The 22,605-nt window shown below is 42.2% G+C and overlaps 1 protein-coding gene across 1 annotated transcript, besides 6 other annotated features; it reads left to right on the top strand.

The window, feature by feature from the left end:
* Positions 283–402: an enhancer, noted in NCBI's record as "active region_23187". NCBI's record gives its function as "activates an Ori minimal core promoter by ATAC-STARR-seq in GM12878 lymphoblastoid cells {active_cell/tissue: GM12878}" and the evidence as "EXISTENCE:reporter gene assay evidence [ECO:0000049][PMID:35858748]".
* Positions 3,867–4,558: an enhancer, noted in NCBI's record as "H3K27ac hESC enhancer chr5:137090093-137090784 (GRCh37/hg19 assembly coordinates)". NCBI's record gives its function as "activates a minimal SCP1, AML or CMV promoter by ChIP-STARR-seq in naive H9 embryonic stem cells {active_cell/tissue: H9 hESC(naive)}" and the evidence as "EXISTENCE:reporter gene assay evidence [ECO:0000049][PMID:30033119]".
* Positions 3,880–4,239: a silencer, noted in NCBI's record as "silent region_16384". NCBI's record gives its function as "represses an Ori minimal core promoter by ATAC-STARR-seq in GM12878 lymphoblastoid cells {active_cell/tissue: GM12878}" and the evidence as "EXISTENCE:reporter gene assay evidence [ECO:0000049][PMID:35858748]".
* HNRNPA0 (heterogeneous nuclear ribonucleoprotein A0) lies at positions 4,599–13,311 on the top strand. Its single transcript, NM_006805.4, has one exon. The coding sequence runs from the start codon at positions 4,896–4,898 to the stop codon at positions 5,811–5,813; it is 918 nt and encodes a 305-aa protein (NP_006796.1). The 5' UTR covers positions 4,599–4,895; the 3' UTR covers positions 5,814–13,311.
* Positions 4,820–5,169: an enhancer, noted in NCBI's record as "active region_23186". NCBI's record gives its function as "activates an Ori minimal core promoter by ATAC-STARR-seq in GM12878 lymphoblastoid cells {active_cell/tissue: GM12878}" and the evidence as "EXISTENCE:reporter gene assay evidence [ECO:0000049][PMID:35858748]".
* Positions 5,249–5,940: an enhancer, noted in NCBI's record as "NANOG-H3K27ac-H3K4me1 hESC enhancer chr5:137088711-137089402 (GRCh37/hg19 assembly coordinates)". NCBI's record gives its function as "activates a minimal SCP1, AML or CMV promoter by ChIP-STARR-seq in primed H9 embryonic stem cells {active_cell/tissue: H9 hESC(primed)}" and the evidence as "EXISTENCE:reporter gene assay evidence [ECO:0000049][PMID:30033119]".
* Positions 5,680–5,839: an enhancer, noted in NCBI's record as "active region_23185". NCBI's record gives its function as "activates an Ori minimal core promoter by ATAC-STARR-seq in GM12878 lymphoblastoid cells {active_cell/tissue: GM12878}" and the evidence as "EXISTENCE:reporter gene assay evidence [ECO:0000049][PMID:35858748]".

The following is a 22,605-nucleotide window of genomic DNA, read 5'->3' as shown; positions in this document are numbered from 1 at the left end:
AGAACTATTCAAGACTTTGATTACATATCAGAAAAACGGAATTGGTCATTTTGTGTCAGTATATGCACAGACAGAGTGGCTGATATGACTGGATGGCTTTCTGGTTTCACTACTCAGGTCAAAGAGGTCACTTCTGAATGTGAGTCTATGCACTGTGTCATCTACAGAGAAATGCCGGGTAGCCGAAAATTGTCACCCGAACTTAAGGTTTTACAGGATGTGATTAAAATTATCAATGACATTAAAGTGCATGCCCTTAACTCAATGTCTGTTTGCGCAACTCTGTGAGATGTGTATAAGAAATGAGATGGCTTTCTAAAGGTAGATAACTGGCCAGAATTTTTGAGTTATGAGAGCCACTCCAGAGATTTCTTTTACAAAAACAGTCACCACTAGCAGCACATTTCAGTGACATAGAATGGGTGGCAAAACTTGTTTACTTGTGTGACACATTCAACCTGCTCAGTGAATTCAATCTGTCACTTCAGGGGAGAATGACAACTGTGTTCAAATCAGCAGATAAAGGGGCTGCATTGAAAACCAAACTGGAGTTATGGGGGCGATGAGTGAACATTGGGATTTCTGACATGTTTCAAACATTAGCAGAGATTTTGAAAGTGACTGAGCCAACGCCTTCTTTCTCCCAGCTGCTGCATGATCACCTAGCTCAGCTTTCAAAAGAGTTTGAGCTTTACTTGCCAACCACAAAAAAATCCCTGAGCTGGGAAGGAATGGATCCACCACCCATTTGTGAATAAGCCAGAAGAATTGACTTTGTCGATACTAGAAGAGGATCAACTGCTTGAGATTGCAAGTGACGGCAGCCTTGTATGTTTGAGACAACTTCAAATCTCCATACATTCTGGATGGAATATCCTGAGATTGCCACAAAAGCACTGAAAAGCCTGCTTCCATTTCCAGCATCCTATATTTGTGAAGCAGGGTTTTCTGCAGTGACAGCAACCAAAACTAGATTATGGAGTAAACTGGACATAAGCAACACACTTCGGGTGTCACTGTCTCCCATCACCCCCAGATGGGAACCGGCTAGTTGCGGGAAAACAAGCTCAAGCCTTCCACTGATTCTACGTTACGGTGAGTTGTATAATTATTATATTTCATTGAATATTATGATGCAATAATAATAGAAATAAAGTGCACATTAAATGTAATGCACTTGAATCATCCTGAAACTACATCCTGGTCTGTGGAAAAATTGTTTTTCACAAAATAGGTCTCTTGTGCCAGAAAAGTTGGGCACTGCTGGTAAACTATTATTTAAAAACAATGTAGGCAAAAACTATCTACCAAAATTGTAAATTCCTAAAGTAACAGTTTTCATAAGTTATGGTCTTTATTCCTTCAGGAGTTCATCTTTTACTGTTTTAAGATTTGGATGACTCTGAAACAGTGGTGCCATCTCAGCTAACAACAGCAGCATCTGCCTTCTGGGTTCAAGCAATTCTCCTGCTTCAGCCTCCCAAGTAGCTGGGACTACAGGCATGCGCCACCACACACGGGGTTTCAATTTGTTAGCCATGCTGGTCTTGAGCTCCTGACCTCAAGTGATCCGCCTGCCTCAGCCCCCCCACAGTGCAGGGATTACAGGCACGAGCCACTGTGCCCAGCCCATTTTCCCCTTTCTTTATTATCAATAGGCAAATCCTGACATTTGAATTTTTTTTGTAATAACAAGGTTAATAGCTTTCTACTGTCCTCTTTCATTTTTTTAATGTCATTTATCACTATCTAACATGCCATATACCACTCTTATTTGTTTATTGTCTGCTTCTTCCCACTAGAATGTAAGCATCATGAGGGCAGAGGTTTTTGTCTGTTGTTTACAGCCATATTGCCAGCACCAGGCATAGGATTCATATAATTGGATAAACTGAGCACTTACTGTGTACCAGGCATGTATACATGTTTACATGTAGAATCTTATTTAATTTTCACTACAACAGAAAGATGTTTTATTATTCCCATTTTAAGATAATAAAACTGATTACATTTTTTTAAAAGGTTAAGTAACTTAGCCAAAGTCACATAACTGAATGGTTACAGGGTAAGTGATAGATCAGACTAGTTTACCCTCAAACCTTAGCCCATCTATTTACCTTTGTTACAGTATCCAAACTACTTAACCTAAGATTCAGCACATTCCATAGTATCATTTCATAGTACCAAAGACCCTCAACCTATCTTACCTCTCACTATTTTCTATCTAAAACTGCCTGCTTCTCTCAAACTAACTGGCCCACTCCCTGTCTCTTGAAGCTTATGTTCCCTCTGGATTTTGCTCAAATAAACTCCCTACAGAAATCTTTTTTTTTTTCCTTTCCAACTTTTATTTTAGGTTCAAGGGATACGCGTGGAGGTTTGTTATGTGGGTAAATTGTTAGTCTTGGGGGTTTGGTGTATAGATAATTTTGTCACCCAAGTCATCAGCATAATACCTGATAGGTAGCTTTTTAGTCCTCACCCTCCTCCCACCCTCCATCCTTAAAAAAGACCTGATGTCTAATGTTCCCTTCTTTTGTGTCCATGTGTACTCAATGTGTAGCTCCCACTTATAAGTGAGAACTTGTGGTATTTGGTTTTCTGTTCCAGCCTTAATTTGCTTAGGATACTAACTAGTCTTTGGCTCTGAGGTTCAGTGCAACTTCCAATTCTTTCCTAAATCTTTCCTGAATACTTGAGGATACAGTGAGGAATTCCTCTTAACTTCTTCAGCGTTTACCATATGGTTTTGGAGGCTTTTGGTCACGTAATGCCTCATATTAACTATGTCCCACCCCATTTATCTTGCTTGGCACACAAAGGCTCAATAAATGGAAGCCATTGTAATTTTCTTCCATTCCCATCTGAGTGAGGGCACTAAAAGCAGTAACTTAGGGGTATATGATCTCTCTCTCTGTAAAACATTCGTCTAACCCAACATCTTTAAAAAGCTAACATTCTACTTTTGGGAGGCCGAGGCGGGCAGATCACTAGGTCACGAGTTTGAGACCATCCTGACCAACATGGTGAAATCCCGTCTCCACTAAAAATACAAACATTAGCCAGGTGTGGTGGTGCCCGCCTGTAGTCCCAGCTACTTGGGAGGCTGAGGCAGGAGAATCGCTTGAACCCGGGAGGTGGAGGTTGCAGTGAACCAAGATCGTGCCATTGCATTCCAGCTTAGGCAAGACTCCGTCTCAAAAAAAAAAAAAAAAAAGCAAAGTTAACATTCTAGGCCAGGCGCGGTGGCTCACGCCTGTAACCCAGCACTTTGGGAGGCCGAGGCAGATGGATCACCTAAGGTCAGGAGTTTGAGACCAGTCTGACCAACATGGTGAAACCCCATCTCTGCTAAAATACAAAAATTAGCCGGGTGTGGTGGTGGGCGCCTGTAATCTCAGCTACTCAGGAGGCTGAGGCAGGAGAACAGCTTGAACCCAGGAGGCGGAGGTTGCTGAGCCGAGATTGCGCCAGTGCACTACAGCCTGGGCAACAAGAGTGAAACTCCATCTCAACAACAACAAAAAAGCTAACATTCTAGTTCAAAGAAAGCAACACATAGATGATGTAAATTACACATAAAAAACCATTCACTGAGGTTAAATGAAAATGTCTGCTGGAGTGTGCCAAGGGGACCTGAAAGGGCCTCCTCTGAGAGGGCATCGTGGGAGGGCTTCAAGGAGGGCGGGAGGGTGGCAGGGAGGCAGGGATGTCGCGCCTCGTCTGGTTCCTAATGTCTGAAGTTCTTTTGGTTCCCTGTTGTCTTTCACACCGCCGCCTCGGGCTCGCTTTTGCGCAGGGCCACGTGGCAAAGTTTTAGTTTAACCGCACGTCGGGCCCACTGTAAACGGTTAATAACCGCCTTCGTGGACCAGGCCTCTGCCCTCCATCTTTGTGCGGGCGGGAGGTGGGGCGGGGACGCCAGGTGTAGCGGACAAGCGGAGAGGCGGCGGGTAGATCCGGGCCCCCAACCCCAACAGTCAAGTTTTCAAAAAGCCCGCGCGTGGCGCCCCAGACCGCATCCGTTGGGAATGGCCCCCAGCGCGCCCCCTGCTCTCTCCCCGGCAAAGCCCTGGGCGGGAGAAGGCGCGGGGGTGGTAGGCCGGCTCTGCACGCCGGGGGCGCCGGGGCAAGCGCGCACCGGGGAGCGCGCCCGTCCAACAGCTGCCGAAAACGGAAGTGGGTGCGAGGGGATCACGGTGATTGGCTGAACTCAGATGTCTCTCAAGGGGCTGGCGCGAACGCCACTGCGGAGTTGGGCGAGGGGATGAGTAAAGGGGAGGGGGAGAAACACTGGGAACAGCCGCGGTGCTAGGAGGAAATGAATCGCGGTGGTGCGCGGAGGGCAGGGAGGGACCCATGTCAAGGGACAGTGGGGCGCTCGGGAATGAAAGTGGGCTGGCAGAAGCGGAAGCGGGAGCGGCACAGGCCGCGGGCTTGAATAGACCGCGGAGGGCGGGGAGTCCGTGATCTAGAGCGGCGCTGCGGCGCGGTAGGCGGGATTAAGGGGAGCGAGGCGGGGATTGGCTGGTAGCCCTAGGCTGCCGTACGTCGGCGGTGACGCACGCCTCGGGGAGGGTGCGCGCGCGTTCAGCGGCCTCTTTGTGTGGTGCCCAGATAGGGGAGCGGAGGTGGCGGCGGCGGCGGTAGCGGTGGCCTTGGTTGTCTTCCAGTCTCCTCGGCTCGCCCTTTAGCCGGCACCGCTCCCCTTCCCTCCCCCTTCCTCTCTTCCTTCCTTCCCTCCCCTTCCCTTTTTCCCTTCCCCGTCGGTGAGCGGCGGGGGTGGCTCCAGCAACGGCTGGGCCCAAGCTGTGTAGAGGCCTTAACCAACGATAACGGCGGCGACGGCGAAACCTCGGAGCTCGCAGGGCGGGGGCAAGGCCCGGGCCTTGGAGATGGAGAATTCTCAGTTGTGTAAGCTGTTCATCGGCGGCCTCAATGTGCAGACGAGTGAGTCGGGCCTGCGCGGCCACTTTGAGGCCTTTGGGACTCTGACGGACTGCGTGGTGGTGGTGAATCCCCAGACCAAGCGCTCCCGTTGCTTTGGCTTCGTGACCTACTCCAATGTGGAGGAGGCGGACGCCGCCATGGCCGCCTCGCCCCATGCCGTGGACGGCAACACTGTGGAGCTGAAGCGGGCGGTGTCCCGGGAGGATTCGGCGCGGCCCGGTGCCCACGCCAAGGTTAAGAAGCTCTTTGTCGGAGGCCTTAAAGGAGACGTGGCTGAGGGCGACCTGATCGAGCACTTCTCGCAGTTTGGCACCGTGGAAAAGGCCGAGATTATTGCCGACAAGCAGTCCGGCAAGAAGCGTGGATTCGGCTTCGTGTATTTCCAGAATCACGACGCGGCAGACAAGGCCGCGGTGGTCAAGTTCCATCCGATTCAGGGCCATCGCGTGGAGGTGAAGAAAGCAGTCCCCAAGGAGGATATCTACTCCGGTGGGGGTGGAGGCGGCTCCCGATCCTCCCGGGGCGGCCGAGGCGGCCGGGGGCGCGGCGGTGGTCGAGACCAGAACGGCCTTTCCAAGGGCGGCGGCGGCGGTTACAACAGCTACGGTGGTTACGGCGGCGGCGGAGGCGGCGGCTACAATGCCTACGGAGGCGGCGGCGGCGGTTCGTCCTACGGTGGGAGCGACTACGGTAACGGCTTCGGCGGCTTCGGCAGCTACAGCCAGCATCAGTCCTCCTATGGGCCCATGAAGAGCGGCGGCGGCGGCGGCGGTGGAGGCAGTAGCTGGGGCGGTCGCAGTAATAGTGGACCTTACAGAGGCGGCTATGGCGGTGGGGGTGGCTATGGAGGCAGCTCCTTCTAAAAGAAAATTTAAAATGCCTGGGAGTGGCTATAGGGGTAGCTCTTTCCAACAGCCCAAGTGGGGTCAACTCCTAAGCCCCACCCCCTCACACACACCGCCTTCCCTGTTTTGCCCTTGGGGGAGCCACTTCTAAGGCTGCTTACCCTTGGGGGTGTTCCTCTATTTGCCTGCCACCTCTCTTGTCTCTCCCTCTGAAGATGGACTCGGCCCCACATACACATTTTTGTGTTACAGTCATTGATGGACTCTATTTTTTTATTATTACTTGGACCTTGGTCGTTTTTATACTAGCAAAATGTCTTGTTTTAATTTGTGTTTTTTGGGGGGAGGGAGGGAGTGAACTTGCTGATTCTGTAGCAAAACCTGGGTGGGGGTTGGGGTGGGGGGTAGTTTACTTTGTTGTAAGGACTTGATAACCTGGCTACAGCGTTTTCTATGAAATCTACTTGGATCCCATGCCTGAAATTTGGAAGCATATGTACAAAAATCATTTTTACGTTTTATTTTTAATAAATCATTGTGTTTGACCGTACATGTCTAACATTTTTTTTCTAGGATCCATTCCGTACCGTTTTTTAAGGGATATTTGTTTAAGACTTTACGTGTTAATTCTTTATTCTTGATGTGTACTTAGAGAAACTTAAGAGGTCCTGTGGTTTTTTTCCCCTCTCCTGTTGCCCTGCTAGTTGCGTGTTGAATTATATCCCTTACAGGCAAAACTTTTGAAGTGGTGGATGTGGCTTTTTAAACTCTTAAGTTTCTGTGCATCCATCTCTTGTACTAAGCGAATTGTTTATCATCTTGACATGGTTGGTCATTTCTATGACAATTTACTTCAAACTGTGTACTGTGTAGTTCTATATAGTTTGTGTTAAGCATGTCATTCATATAAACTGTTTAAAATTTTTCAGATGGCCTAGTTTCATCCCTCTTACTGGTTTGTCTGTAATGAATGGTTAAAAATAAGGGTTATATTTTACCCTCAAATGCGTTTTTGTACTTTCAGAGCAGGTTTAAACGTTTTTTTTTTTTTTTTCCTATATCCGAACTGTTGGCCTCATGGAAATCCCTTTCCCGATCTTTGTAGCACCATCTACTGGCAGAATGGCAGAGTAGCTGCGAAACAATTTGTTTAAAAACTTGCTTAAGACAATTGCATCAGATTTGGAAGTTTTGCCATCAAAATTCTTTGCAGAATTGGAAGTTAACACATTTGCTTGTAACTGAGATGGGCTTCACAGGAATGTAGTTGCCAGTTCATATCACAATAGCCCTTTCTATATGAGGTTTGAAAATGTAAACTGCTATGCATAGCTTGGGCAATAGCCCTAAATTGCTATGACAACTAATGAACCAGCTACGTATACTGGTATTTTAGGTGCAAGTTGTAAAGCAAAATATCTGTGTATTCTGCTTGGTTAACAAATGTATATTTGTAGCCCTTTCCTGCAATAGCATTCAAGTTGTTGTTTATAAGAGAAGAACAAAAGTGATAATAGGTGAAAATTGCCTTTCTGGATAGAAATAGAGAATAGCAACGTTTATGGATATCACAAATAAAGAATTCAATTCTTTACATGATTGAGTGAGAGTATGTATAACCTGGTGGGTGGGTTCAGAGTACCTTTTAATCTAGTATGCTTAACTTGATGTTAATATTTAACTTAAATATTTGACTTACATGTTGACGTTGAAGGCTCAAAGCTATACTAAGAAGCTTTCTGAAAGATTGGGCTTTAAAATAAAATAATATTTTAATATTGAACCATTTTTTAACTTCTTGTCACTGTTCAATTCCTAAGGTCTAGTTCTTGCCAGTTTTTTTTTTTTTTTTCCTGATTGGCAGGGCTTTTAAAGAAGTAAGAAGAAAGGTTAAGATTATTAGGCTAGGTTATAGCTGCTCAGTAGTCATTTTGACAAAGGGTAGCGGATGGTTGGTACAAATAGTGTTATATCCTCTATGACAAACGGGGTGGATGTTTTTACACATTGAGGTAATACATAGTCAAATCCTTTGCTCTCAAATAGTTGTACACTTTCCATACATTTCTGTCTTATTTTTTAATTCTAGTGATACACAAATTACATGTGGGCTACTTCATTTGGTAATTTGGTCCAGCTTTTTGGTGGCTGTAGAGTGGCCTCTAGGATACAGAAAATGATTCTCTGAAATTTTTCGTTGTAATTGTTAAATACTACTCTGCTTGACTTACTCAGTTTTGGTGGGAAGATCTGGGTCAATTGGAATAGTACACCTTTCTCAGGGTTTTCAGTTTAATAAGGTTGTCATATTATTCCCAACATGGGAATATAGTGGCTTCTAAAGTTTGCAAATGAATTATGTAAAAGGATTTTCTGTGTATTAGGAAGGCAACCTGTTCTGTTCATGGTATATTAACACTTCATTGTCATGTGTCTACCCTTAAAATTGCTATTTGTAGTGAAGAAAAAAGCATAGTGGTATTTAGTCACTTCTGGGTTCCTCTTGTCAGTTTATATGCAAACATTTTGGCATGTGGGACTTGGGGAGGAGGGACAATTGGTTGTATGTTTTGACCACTTCCACCTATGAAAATTATCTGAACATTATTCAGATTTAAGAGTTCATGGGAGCAGGTGGTACAGAACCTAGTGTTGAATATAATTTTTGTGCCATGCTTGAATGTATTTTGACGGATTAGCAAAATAAAAGTGAACCTCCTATTTTTCATCTTAATGTGAAGATCTTTGGCATTTACATTCTTTTAAAAGTATAAATTCAGTAGTCATTAGTTGAAAGTGGTTTGAAAGGCTGTTAGAGATGATACAGGTTGAGTATTCCTTATCTGAAATTCTTGGGCCCAGAAGTGTTTTGAGTTTTAGATTTTTTTCAATTTTTGAATATTTCCATTATGTTTACCAGCTGAGCAGCTCTCATACAAAAATGTAAAATCCAAACTGCTTCAATGAGCATTTCCTTTGAATGTCATGTCTGCACTCAAAAAATTTCGGATTTTGGAGCATTTTAGATTTTTTGATTGGAATATCTGTAGTGTTTTTCAGGTCATTTAAAAAGCTCTCATTGGTACTGATTTACTGTATCCAAAAAAAAGCCTGCAAGTGGTTAAGGTTCACAGTGATAACTATCAAATCAGAATGACTATACTGATTGTACCCATTCATCCATTTTTAACTTAGTGATTTGGAACGTTTCATATTCAAATCTAATTTTCATAATTTTTAAGTAAACCTAAAAGATTGAGGATACTTGAGAAATTTGCATTTATGATTTCCTTCAAAACCAGAAGTGATGGTATCAGTTATTGGATTTGTAAACTTAGTTTACCTTTTAAGTGTGCTTAAGTTTTGAGAGTTTGCATTTTAGGTTAAATTTTGTCTGCCCGCGTCTGCTGATTGCAGATAGGCATTTGGATGTTGGATTTGGAGCAGAACTGCATCTAGACTACACGGATTTTACCCAAAAAGACAGCACTTGCACTTAGGCTAAGTGTCTTTCTCCATCGTAACCAATTTATTGAATCACTTTAAGAGTGATCATTGGGGAAATTTTCCTCCTCAGCCTTATTTTGGCCTTTTGAAACAGCAACAAAGACTGCCTAGTCAAATAACTCCTTAGCTGTCCTGCTTTTGAGTGAACTTCATATTTGCCTTGAATGAGAATTTAAATGTTACAAGGTAAAACATTTATTATAAAAAGATATTTGAAAGCTGCTATTTAAAAAGGAATTCCAAAGTAGGAAGACTAGAAGGGCAATTCTCTATTTTCCACCTATTTTTTTTACTTTGATTTGAAGCCAGATGATTTGAACCTTCAGAGAGGGAAAGGATTCAGGAAGACACCTTTGGTAGTTATTCTTAACTGTTTCCTTCTCTATTCAGGCAGGCTTTCTTTGTCTCTTTAATTCTTTTACCACTTTGTATGGTTTACTTAAAAAATCTATCTGAAATAGCTATCATTTCCTGCTATAAAGTTCTCAAGTGTAAACTTTTGCCATTTAAACAGTGTGCTTATTTCCCAGTGTTTACCGTCAATTTCATTGGGTGTTAGGCACCTTTGTGTAAGACAGTTCTATAATGTGGAGGTACACAGCAGTGAGACAAACATGGTTGCTGTCTTCATATACCTTGCGTTCTGGTTGGAATTCAATTTATTTTGAAATGGGAATTCAATTTATTTTGAGATGATGCATCTTTTCCTTTACAGCATTGTGTCACAATCTCATATTGTTCACACCATCAAAATTGGAGTTAGCTCCATTGTCATTGAATGTACATTCTCTGATGAAAATTAAGACTCTTTTCTCCTTAATTGATTACTTTTTAGAAATCAAAGGTGTATTTTGTCTTTGATGCTTACGTTGCAAATGTAATTTGCTTCATAGTGGGTATCTGATTTAATATTTCATAGCCCTTAAGGACGTAAATTTGGGCATCCAATAGACCAAATTCTGTTCCTGACACAGTCACTTTCTAGCACTGCGACCTTGGACAAACTGGCCCGAGCCTCACTTGCCTTATTTGTAAAAAAATAGGCTATGGTAATACCTGCTACATAGGATTGTTGGGCAGATTCAGTGAAAGAATGCATATAAAGAAGGGCTTACTGTAGTCTCTGGTACACAGTAATTTTACTATATGGCCCCTAATGAAGAGGTGGGACAGACTAGCAAAAGGCATACTTTTATATCTTAGTACCCGAGATATGCATGGTCTTTAGGCTTTGCTCTTTACTTGCTGGGTGAGCTTCCATGTGGTAGTTCTCTAAATCACTGCTGCTTCAACTCTAGTAGGAGAGAGATGAATTCTGCTAGCCATCTGTAATGTTTTAAGTATTTGTTAATATTAGGAAGGTATAAATAATGTGAGTGTTGAGGAGAGGTGACTTCAGGTAGGAAGAAGGATCAAGAGAGGCATTGTGGAGCATATAACATTTAACCTTAAAAGATAGGTCTTATAGAGAAGGTGGGAGGAGAAAGAGGGCATTTTAGGTGGAGGACAGATAGGCAGAAACATGGAGCGTATTTGGAGAAGTATGCATATTGGATGCCAAACACTAGGTACATTTACAAATGTTCTCATTGCATCATTCAGTAACCTTCACAGATAAGGTTGCTAAATCTCATGCCAGAAAAGTAACTCCCAAGGACCCCCAGCTGGTGACATGGTAGAACTGAGAGTTGAATCCAAGTTTGACCAATTCTAGTTGTTTCGCTCCTTCTACTAAGCTTCATTGACTTCCAGCTAACAAATGTCTAATTTGTACTAAGATAAAAGAGAGTTGTGAGAAATAAATTGAGAAAATGAAGTTGGAACCAGGTTACTGAGGTCTTTGAGTAGTAGGCTAAGGAGTTTGGACTTAGGGTAGGCAGTAAAAGTCATTAAAGGTTTTTGAGCAACAATAATGGTAGTGAAACTAATTCACAAAGATTAGTCCAGTAGCACTGAGTAACATAAATGGCAGTGGGGGATGTTTCAAAGTGGCAAGTTTGCTAAGACAACTGATGTTAACCAGGTAAGAGAATGAGAGCATGAACAAAGAGCAATGGAAATAGACTGACAAAGAAGTTGAGGTAAGTTGTGAAAGCATAATTGACAAATATTTGGATATATGAAGAATGAGGAAGAGAGAGTAGATTAATCAAAATTACTGTGTGAGAGGATGGTGATGCCACTGGTAATAGGAAGAGAAGATTTAGAGGGAAGATTTGGACATAGTTGAAGATGCTGGTAGCACATTGAAGCATTGTGTCTTGCGCATATAGCTTTACAAAATGGCCATTGTGCTGGATATTCTTTTTGCCCTTCCTGATCTATTTTCCATCTTTATCTCTCTTGTTCTGTGTTCCTGGGAGGCTGACAAATAAAGAACTGCATACTCTCTTTTCTGGCTTTATTCATGGTGGGTTTGGACAGTGATAGAAAAGTGAGGCTGAAATATTTGCTCCTTCTCTTTCTCATATACTTAGCAAGAGATTGTGAGTGGCCACAGCTCTGCTCCAGTGGCCCTCTTATAGCTCTAGGTCTTTTCTGGCTTCTCGTAACTGTCTCCTATTGCTAGATTCTCTAGTCCCAAGAAGGTTCAAACCTTGTTGATTTGCCTTAACTGTGCCCATACCCTTGTAAATAGTTCCTTTTATTAAAACTCTTCAATAACTGAATATACTGTGGTCATCTCTTCAGTGAAATTAAAAAAAAAAACTTCTTTCACATTTTCTTATGACTTGATCTTCCCACACCACCAAACGTGAAGATCTAGCTATTTGCACTAGGTTACTATCCCTAAATTCAGTGCCTCCCTGTTTCTTAGTATGTCAAGTTAAAATTTGTTACTCTTCTGCTGGGTGATTGTGCTGGAAATACAGAAGAAAAAGACAAAAATCCCTGCCCTCAAAGAGCTTATATTTTACTGGGGAGAGACAGGCAATAAGACATAATCAATTATATGGTATGTTAGAAGATGAGAAGTATAGAAAAAATTAGGGTGAGGAATGGCGATTGTTGCAAGGGATGTTTGTGAGGATAGCATACTTTAAAATAGGTGGTATGGGTAGGTCTCTCAGAAAGTGACATTTGAGCAAAGACTTGAAGGAAATGTGGGAGTGAGCAATATAGGTATGGGAAGAGCATTCTAGGTAGAGGATTAGGAAGAGCAAAAGCCCTGAAGCAGGACTGTGTCTGGCCTCTGAAGAAATGCAAATTGTTCAGGGTTGTTGGACCTGAAGGAAGAGGAGGAAAGGAATAATGAGGCCAGAGGGGCCAGATCATGTAGGGATTTGTAGGTTGTTGTAAGGATTTTGGTTTTCACTAAATGAATGGTGAACCATTTCAGTTTTGAGCAGAGGAGTTCCATGATCTGATTTGAATTTTAAAAGATGTGTTTCCCAAAATTCCTATTCCTTTCATACAGCTGCTTTCAATGAAGGTTTATAAGGAAAGCAATCAGAACTACTTGGATAAGGTATAAGTGATCCACAATCTTTTCAACTCTACCATAGGTATCTACATATATATGTTGAGAGATGCTGCTTTTTGGCCAAAATGAATCTTGAATTGGGGGTGTGCAGAAAAAGTTATATCTGGCCTGAGGCTGGTATCTTTTAGAGTGGCCTACTTGCATGGTTGGCCCTTATCTGAACACGTGGATTTAGGGGTATTCTCACTGTTCACTAATAAAGGTGGTTCACTGTACCTAGACTGTTCAAACAAGATGATTTATGCTAAACACCTGCTTTCCTTCTGGGAGTATGGAATTTTGGTACATGCCAGGTAAAGGATGTCTATATGACCAAACTCCCAATGAAAACCTTGCATACTGAGTCCCTAGGCAGAAACATCCCTCGTATAAAAATGTGCTCTGTGTGAATCTTCATGGGAGGGAGAGATCCTAAAGAAGCCTGCACATGGATTCCTCCAGATTCTGCTTATGTCTTTTTCCTGTATGATCCAACTGTGTACACTTACTGTGTCACTGTAATAAACTTTAGCCATGAGTACGATACTTAGCAGTGCTGAGTTTTGTGAACCCTTCTATCAAATCTCAATATGGGCTTGGTCCGGGGGATCCCTGACACAGGCAGATTTTTTTTTTTTTTTTCAAAGAGTCACCAAGTTAATTGGAAAACATCAGGTTATGGATAGAAGGAGCAGTTGGGCAACCTGTCACAGAAGTCAGCCAGCTCTGTCTAGTGGAGAGCTCTTCTGAGCTGTTTCTGCTTTGTTAATTCCTTTTCTTTCTCCAAAAGCTTCCCTCCATTTGGTTTTGTCACACTTTATACATTTGTAACAAACTGCTGACCGGAATTTGTCCATCAGGTTATGAAAAATGGCAAATGAGGAGAGTAAAATTATGGATTTATTTATTAAGAACTATTAAAGTATTCATATGCTCTGGGACACCATTACTAGGAATTTAACCTTAACAGAACAGTTTATTGAAAAATTTATTGAAAGGAAAACAGTCTTTGCATAAAAATTATGACGTAGCAAAAAATTGGAAACTAAATGTCAAATATTAGGGAAATGTTAACTGTGGTCTGTCAAAAGGTGAAATATTAACTCAGTGTTATCAGGTGAATGAATTAACAAGATGTGGTATATACATACAATGGAATATTCAGCCATAAGAAAGAATAAATTTCTGGTATATGCTACAAGATGAATGAAAACATGCCAAGTGAAATAAGCCTGCACAAAAGGACATACTATGATTGCACTTAAATGAGGTACCCAGAGTAGGCAAATTCAGAGAGATAGAAATGGGAAATTACTGTTTAAGGGATACAGAATTTCTTTTCAGATGTTGAGAAAGTTCTGAAAATGGATAGTGGTGATTGTTATACAACATTATGAATGTACTTAATGCTGATGAATCGTATATTTAAAAATGGTTAAAATGGCTTTTTTTCTTTTTTTTGGAGGCCGGGTCTTACTCTGGTGCCCAGGCTGGAGTGCAGTGGCATGATCATAGCTCACTGGAGCTTCGAACTGTGGGCTCAAGTGATCCTCCCACCTCAGCCTCCCCCGTAGCTAGAACTGACTACAGGCACGCGCCACCACAGCTAGCTAATTTAAAAAATCTTTTTGTAGAGATGGAGTCTTGCTATATTGCCCAGGCTAGTATTGAACTCCTGGGCTCAAGTGATCCTCCCACCTCAGCCTACCAAAATCCTGGGATTACAAGTGTGAGCCACCACACCTGGCCTAAAATGGCAAATTTAATGTATATTTTACCACAATAGAAATTGTAATGAAAAAATATATTATTTAACATAATAAATATGTAAGTATATTAAAGTAGTGGGATGAAAAAATTGTATCTTTTAAATATTTTTTTAAAGACAAGGGCTTGCCCTGTTGCCCAGGCTGTAGCACAGTGGTGGTGCAATCATGGCTCACTGCAGCCTCAAACTCCTGGGCTCAGGTGATCCCTCTGCCCATGCCTTCCAAGTAGCTAGGACTACAGGTGCACACCACTATGCCTGGTTAAGTTTTAAAATTTTTTTTGTAGAGATGAGGTCTTACCATGTTCCCCAGGCTGGTCTCAAAACTACTGTGCTCAAGCGGTCCTCTCTCCTTGTCCTCCCAAAGTGCTGGGATTACAGGTGTGAGCCACCATGCCCGGCCAAAAAAATTTTTTAAATGAAATCATGGGACGTTGAAATTACCTATTTGCAAATATTTACAATTATGAATACCTTTTAAAAACTCCATAGAATTATTAAGTTCTCAATTTATTTCTATTCTCATGTCATCCACCCTCTCCCCAACTGGAAGTTGCCTCTTCTCCCACCAAGTTTCCATGATACCCTTTCTGTACTTGACTCTCATACTTTTTACCATTGTATATGCCTATGTCTAATTTTCTCAAACAGCTTGTGTGCTCTTTGGAATTATATTAATATAGGATTTATGTTGTCAGTCTCTGGTACAGCCTGCATAGTAGATATTCAGTGAGACTTAGTTGACTGAATCATAAGCATGCTATTTTACGAAGGTAGAGATTTACCAAAATGTTTGAGCATACGTGCCCATGGGTTTTATATCACTTCAAGTGTGTGCCTGCCTCAATTCTCTGTACTTGCTAGATGTGCAGACCTGATCTCACCCACATACACATCACTGTATTCTTGACTTTAGGGCTTTGCATCATTCATTTATATTTTACCTTTTTATGTAAAACAGCCCAATTTTCTTTGGATCCCGAAAGGAAAGAACTGCAGGCGTGAGGCAGGGGCAGCAGATAGAGGAGAGGATCATTGCAGTCAATTTAAAGTTGCATATGCCTATTGGAAAGTTGTAAGTAAGAAATAATGTTCATTCCTGAATAGAATGTCTGTGAAGGAAGCATATATTTTTTTCCTTCTTAAGCCCCAGTTGTAGTAATTAGGTTTTACTTTTGTTATGAAGAGATGTATACTTTTGCCAGCAGAGGGCACCAGTTGTAGGTTGCAGATTCATGGGAAGACTCAGAGACCAGTGTGCTGGTCTGTGTGAAGCACTCTGCTTGTTGCTTTAGTTGGTCTGCCCCCCACCCACCCGCCTTTTTTTTTTTTTTTTTTTTAATTCCCTTGGGTTCCAGTGGTACTCTTCCAGCTTTCCCCAAGAGCATTCTTTGGCTAGTCCTGGTTAATAAGCTAGGTGCCCAGATGAATCCAGGTGGAAGGACTTTATTATAGTAGCTGTTTGGAAGCCTTGGATGCCAGCTTGTATGTAATATCTTTAGGGGTTCAAAGCTGTTTTTCCTCATCCAGAGGTAAGGTGAAAAAGGCATTAGGCCAGGCATCTGAGGGTCTGGTTCTGCACTGAGGTTGGCTCTCTAAGTAGTTTTGAGCCAGTTACCTTTTCTCTCTGTCTCAATTAGCTTATCTCTAAAATGGAGACAGTAAGATAGGGGTAGTACATTCTGTGTATAGCTAATAGTGGTCTCTTAGGTCAGGCAGACCTGGGTTCAAATTCCAGCTTTGCCATTTACTAACTGTGGGGCCTTGGTTCAAGTTATTTAACTCTCAGAACCTCGATTCTCTCATGTTTAAAAGAGAAATAATAGTCCTACAGGGTTGTGAGAATTAAATGACAAGGGTACATGTGAAGTGTGGAATACAGGGTCTGGCCCAGAGTAAATATTCAAGGAATGGGAGCTATTATTACCATTCAGGGGATGTTGTCTTAAGTCAAAGGAGATGATGGATATGAAGCACTTTGTAAGCTTAAAAATGCAACACAAATGGCATGAGTGATTATACTCTGGAATCTACTTGGCGTGAATTCTTTTACCTTCAGAGGAAGAGTCCTTATTCCTCTGGATAAGGTGCTGTTTTGTTTCTCTTTTGACTTTTTGGGGTCTCAAGTTCCTTTTCAGTTTCTGCCTGGCTGTCTGAGGGCACTTGGCAAGTGCTCCTGAATATGAGAGGGCATTTTGGTGATACAGGTGTGGGTGGACCTTAATTTAGCTTTGGTCTTGTCTACTCCTTGCTGACCTGTTGGTAATAGTAACCAGTGGAGATGTGAAAATAGCTCCAGGAGAGGCCCTACCCTGGTTAATTTTCTTCTTGAACCTAGGACCGAGTGCTCAGGTTCGGTAGCATTGGCACAGACAATGAAAATCATAGCTACTAATGGTTGCTGAGTGCTTATTATAGGCCAGGCTCTCAGCTAAGTGCTTTACATTCTAACCTAACAATGCTGTGAAGTAGGTACTATTGTTCTCACCTTTTTTCGAATGAGAAAAATCGAAGCTTGTAACTTGCCTAGGGTCATGTTTCTGGTAAGTACATTTGGACCTTGCCCTGTCTGATTTTAATGGTCTGGGCTCTTTTCATTGTTCAGGTGATGTTTGCATCTAGCTGTGCATTAGAGTCACCTACGAAGTTCATTAAAATTCCCGTTCCTAGTGGGTGCGATAGCTCACACCTGTCCATCCCAGCGTTTTGGGAGGCTGAGGCGGGAGCACTGCTTGAGCCCAAGGAGTTCGAGACCAGCCTGGGCAACATAGAGAGACCCCGTCTCTAAAACTAAAGGAAAAAAATTAAAAAAATTCCTGTTCCTCAGGCCCTGATTCTATGGGTGTGAGGAAGAGCCGGACCCTGTAGTGTTTTTTCATTTTTCCAGATTTATTGAGGTATAATTTGCATAAATAAACCCATTTTAAGTGTATAGTTTAATGAAATGCAGTACTTGTATACAGTTGTGTAGGTATTACCACAGTCAAGATACGGAACATTTCTATAACCCTAAAAACTTTTCTTCATGCCTATTGATCTGACACCTACCATTTTAACCAGCTGGGCAGATGGTTCTGATGCACAGCTAGGTGTGGGACCATTGTACTGTGTTATGGTGCCTGCAAATGTGAGGAACTGATGTCCTGGAGAAGGAGGGTAAAGGCAAGAAAAGAAAAAGAGCATTTACAAGGAAGAATGATTGGCTTAGCTGTCTTCAGATAAATTTAACTGGCTCCCTGTACAGAGATAGAGTATGGAAGAGAGAACTTTCTAGATAAAACCTAGCTTAAAAAAGTTTCTCCTCCCAACATGGTTTCTTCCTAAGCCACATAAGAGCTGAATGATTCTAAACAAAGTTGGTGTAGATGGCTGAATACATTGCTTTGGGGTAGAGATCTGGGGCCACTAGGGACTTTTGATAAGCTGTAGAAGAAGGCTGGGGTGTGGGAAGGACTGGGCTAAGACAGTGGTCCCTAGGTCACAGACTGGTACTGGTCCATGGCCTGTTAAGAATTGGGATGCACAGCAGGAGGTGAGCAGCCGGCAAGCGAGCATGACCACCTGACCTCTGTCTCCTGTCAGCTCAGCAGTGGCATTAGATTCTCCTAGGAGCATGAACCCTATTGTGAACTGTGTGTGCAAGGGATCTAGGTTGTGCGCTCCTTGAGAAGCTATCTAATGCCTGATGATCTGAGGTGGAACAGTTTCATCCTGAAACCATCATCCCCCCTGACCCCCCACCCCCATCCTTGGAAAAGTTGCCTTCCATGAAACTGGTCCCTGGTGCCAAAAAGGTTGGGGCCTGCTGGACTAAGACACTATTATTGCTGAGCAATCTGAGGATGGGACCTTTTTCTCCAGACAGATACCACATTGATTATTTTGACTCTCCTCTACTGCAGGACTCCAATAGCAACTGTCCTTAATCTGAAGTCCAGTCAGGAAAATTAGCATAGAGCAAACAGGTTCAGACTGTGGTCCAGAGAACATTTGGATAATAAGGTAGAAAATGTAAAATGTGTTTCTGAAACTGGAAAATATTGGGGGTAGGAACTTTGTGCCAGGAGTCTGGAGACTTTGCTTCTTGACTCAGCTCTGCCCCTGGTTTTGCTAGATAACCTTTCTTCCTTTTTTTTTTTTTTCCTAAATTTCATCTTTAATTTTAGATCGAGGGGTACATGTACAGGTTTGTTACATGGGTATCTTGCATGATGCTGAGGTTTGGGGTATGAATGATCCTGTCACCTAGGTAATGAGCATGGTACCCAATAGGTAGCTTTTCAACTACCTTTTTAGGCTTGCTCCTTGTATTAGGTGGTTATTGTGTTGTTATAAAGAAATACCTGAGGCTTGGTAATTTATAAAGAAAAGAGGTTTAATTGCCTCATGGCTCTGCAGGCTGTACAGGAAGCGTGCTGGCATCTGCTTCCGGGGAGGCCTCAGGAAGCTTACAATTGTGGTGGAAGGCAAAGGGGGAGCTGGTATATCACGTGATGAGAGCAGAGGCAAGAGAGTGAGGAGGAAGGTGCCACACACTTTTAAACAACCAGATCTCGAGTGAACTCAGAGTGAAAACTCTTTATTATGGGGACAGTGTGAAACTATTATGAGTGATCTGCCCCTATGACCCAAGCACCTCCCACTAGGCCCTATCTCCAACTCTAACACTGAGGATTACATTCCAGCATGAGATTTGGAGGCTACCAACATCCAAATCATATAACCCCTTTTCCCTCCCTCCATCCTCTAGTAGTCCCCAGTATCTATTGTTCCCATCTTCATGTCCATATGTACCCAATGTTTAGCTCCCACTTATAACTGAGAATGTGTGACATTTGGTTTTCTATTTCTGCACTAATTCACATAGGATAATGGCCTCTCGCTGCTTTCATGTTGCCACAGAGGACATGATTTTATTCTTTTTTTATGACTGTGTAGTATTCCTTGGTATATATATACCACACATTCTTTATTCAGTCCACCATTGATGGGCACCTAACTTGATTTTTTGTCTTTGCTATTTTGAATAGTGCTGCGATGAACATACAAGTGCATGTGCCTTTTTGGCAGAATGGTTTATTTTCTTTTGAGCATATACCTAGTAATGGGATTGCTGGGTCGAATGGTGGTTCTATTTTTAGTTCTTTGAGAAATCTCCAGACTGCCTTCCATAGTAGCTGAACTAATTTACATTCACCAGCAGTGTATAAGCATTCCCTTTCCTCCACAGCCTTGACAACATCTGTTATTTTTAGACTTTTTAATAATGGTCATTTTGACTGGTGTGAGATGGTATCTCATTGTGGTTTTGATTTGCATTTCTCTGGTGAGTAGTGACGATGAGCATTTTTTCATGTTTGTTGGCTGTTTGTATGTCTTCTTTTGAGAAACGTCTGTTCATGTCCATTGCCCACTTTTAAAAATGGGTTTACATGTTTTTTGCTTGTTGAATTAAATTCCTTATAGATTCTGCATATTAGACCTTTGTCAGATGCAGTTTATGAATATTTTCTCCTATTCCGTACATTGTCTGTTTACTCTGTTGATAGTTTCTTTTGCTATACGAAGCTCTTTAGTTTAATTAGGTCTTACTTGTCAATTTTTGCTTTTGCTGCATTGCTAGAAGGGTATTTCCTAGGTTTTTTTCCTTTTTTAAATAGTTTTAGGTCTTACATTTAATTGTTTACTCCATCTTGGGTTTATTTTATTTTATTTTTTGAGACAGAGTCTTGCTCTGTCACCCAGGCTGGAGTGCAGTGGTGCAGTCTTGGCTCACTATAACCTCTGCCTCCCAGGTTCAAGTGATCCTCCTGCCTCGGGCTCCCAAGTAGCTGAGACTACAGGCACATGCCACCACACCTGGCTAATTGTAGTATTTTTAGTAAAGATGGGGTTTTACCAGGTTGGCCAGGCTGGTCTCAAACTCTTGACCTCAGGTGATCTGCCCGCCTTGGCCTCCCAAAGTGTTGGGATTACAGGTATGAGCCACTGTGCCTGAGTTAATTTTTATATATGGTGATAGGGTCCAGTTTCTTCTGCATATGGATAGCCAGTTATCCCAGCATCATTTATTGAAGTCCTTTCCCCATTGCTTATTTTTGTTGACTTTGTCGAAAATCAGTTGGTTGTAGGTGAACAGCTTTATTTCTGGGTTCTCTTTTCTGTTCCATTGGTCTATGTGTCTGTTTTTGTACCAATACCATACTGTTTTGGTTACTGTAGCCTTGTAGTATAGTTTGAAGTCAGTTAATGTGGTGCCTCCAGTTTTGTTCTTTTTGCTTAAGATGACCTTTCTTTTCTAAATGGCCTCTTCTGAGTGTTCTCTATTCTGTCTACCTCCTGTGAATCATGAGTGGTGAATAAAGTATGAAGGTGTAGTCGTATGGTTTTGCAGGGAAATTTAGCAGGGTTTTATACTGGCTCTTAATAGTTATATTTTGAAACTTGAATACATACAACCCTTACATATTTCCTTTTCTGATCTTTTTTCTTTGTCTGGTTTGTTAGATGTGGCATTTCCACACCTTCCTGTATGGCGAATATGTAAACGTGGGTATGTGCAAAGGAGGAGTCATCTCTTTCTTATGTCCCTTTTATGAATCACCCAGTTGTGTTCCTGGTGGATGTCTGAACTCTGGCACGGATTCCGAGATTCAGTTTCCTTATTTGTGATGTTCAGCTTTTTGTGGTCCCTGTGATTGGCCTCAAGAGGAAATATCTGGAGCAGGGCCACAAGGCTGATTAGAGGAGGAAGGGACATAGAGGGAACAAGATATGAGGGGTATTGTTGTGCAAGGAAGAAGTGAAGATACAGCCCTGTGGGGTGTAAATGAAATTATCCAGGCCTCTTCTCACTTGAGAAAGAGTGAGTGTGAGTAATGGCCTTGTCTAAGAGAACACTGAGGTGCCAGGGGAGGTAATCTTTGAGAATAACCCTGTAGCCAGTTTGAGTTCAGGAGGCTATATAAAGTTTTAGTTACTTTTACTTTCTGTCACCTCAGTGTTCCTCTCTTCCTTCTGTGGTTTTAGGGCTTTGTAGTAGTGAAGAAATTTAACAGGTTAAAATGATAAGGATGATAGATTTACTGAGCGTCTCTTCGTACTTTCACCTACATCATGTTATCCTCCTTGAAGCCCCCTACAACACATTGGAGCCTAGTATTTCTTCTTAAACAATCACACGGATTACTCTGAGAAGAAAAACGGACCATTTAAAACATTTTTAGAATCCTGTGATCTTGGAGCTGAAAGGGACTCTAAAGATTGTCTGGTCTGACCCTATATTGTGAATGAGTAGCTGAGCATGAGGTCCAGAGTGTGGAGAACACTACTCAGGAAAGTCACTCACCCAGTGAGTGCTGGTGTGGATTCGGAAAAGCCCAGGGGTGCCATGAGGTGTCCCAGAAGAGAGATGCTCATAGCTGATTTTTTTCTGAGGCATTAGGATAGCTTCTGCACCACTTTTTGCAGCTAATTGTCCCAGTTACCTCTAAGCCTCTGTGGCTAGGATATACAGACTGGCCTCATGCCTTCCACAAGATTATGTTTTAGTTTGGGAAAGAAGATTTATAAATAATGAATTAGCCAAGACTGTATATTAGGTGTGAGATGACGATACAGGAAAGTATAGTTTGTGTATTTTGGTGGTGATTGACTGTCATTGGTGTGATTAGGGAAGGTTTTATGAAGACATGGGATTTGACTGGACTCCCAGAAAGACTAAAGGACTGGGATTGGAGAAGGCATTTCAGGCAGGGAGAGTTAAATTAGTCTAAATTGAAGCTCAGCAGCTGGAGATTACAGGATGTGAAAGATCTTTGGCTGGATATGGGGGTTCAGTGGGAGACTTACTAGTTGGAGCCACTGCTTAAGTTAAATTCCAATATGACAGATTTTAGGAAGATATTTTAGGATTGTGCTAAGATATTTTAGTATTCATTGTGATAGCTTTACTGCAGTAGTCTTTGGCCTCTTGCAGTAAAATAGGGTTTGTTTCAGTTTCACCTATTTGTACTACCTCTCTTTTTCGACTAGTTTTCCAATTTCTCTCTGTATTCTCTTAATTTCTCTCT

Source organism: Homo sapiens, chromosome 5, assembly GCF_000001405.40.
Source record: "Homo sapiens chromosome 5, GRCh38.p14 Primary Assembly".
In the NCBI taxonomy this organism is placed as follows: Eukaryota; Metazoa; Chordata; class Mammalia; order Primates; family Hominidae; genus Homo; species Homo sapiens.
Note: the sequence above shows the minus strand (reverse complement) of the source record. Positions and strands in the feature narration are given on the sequence as shown.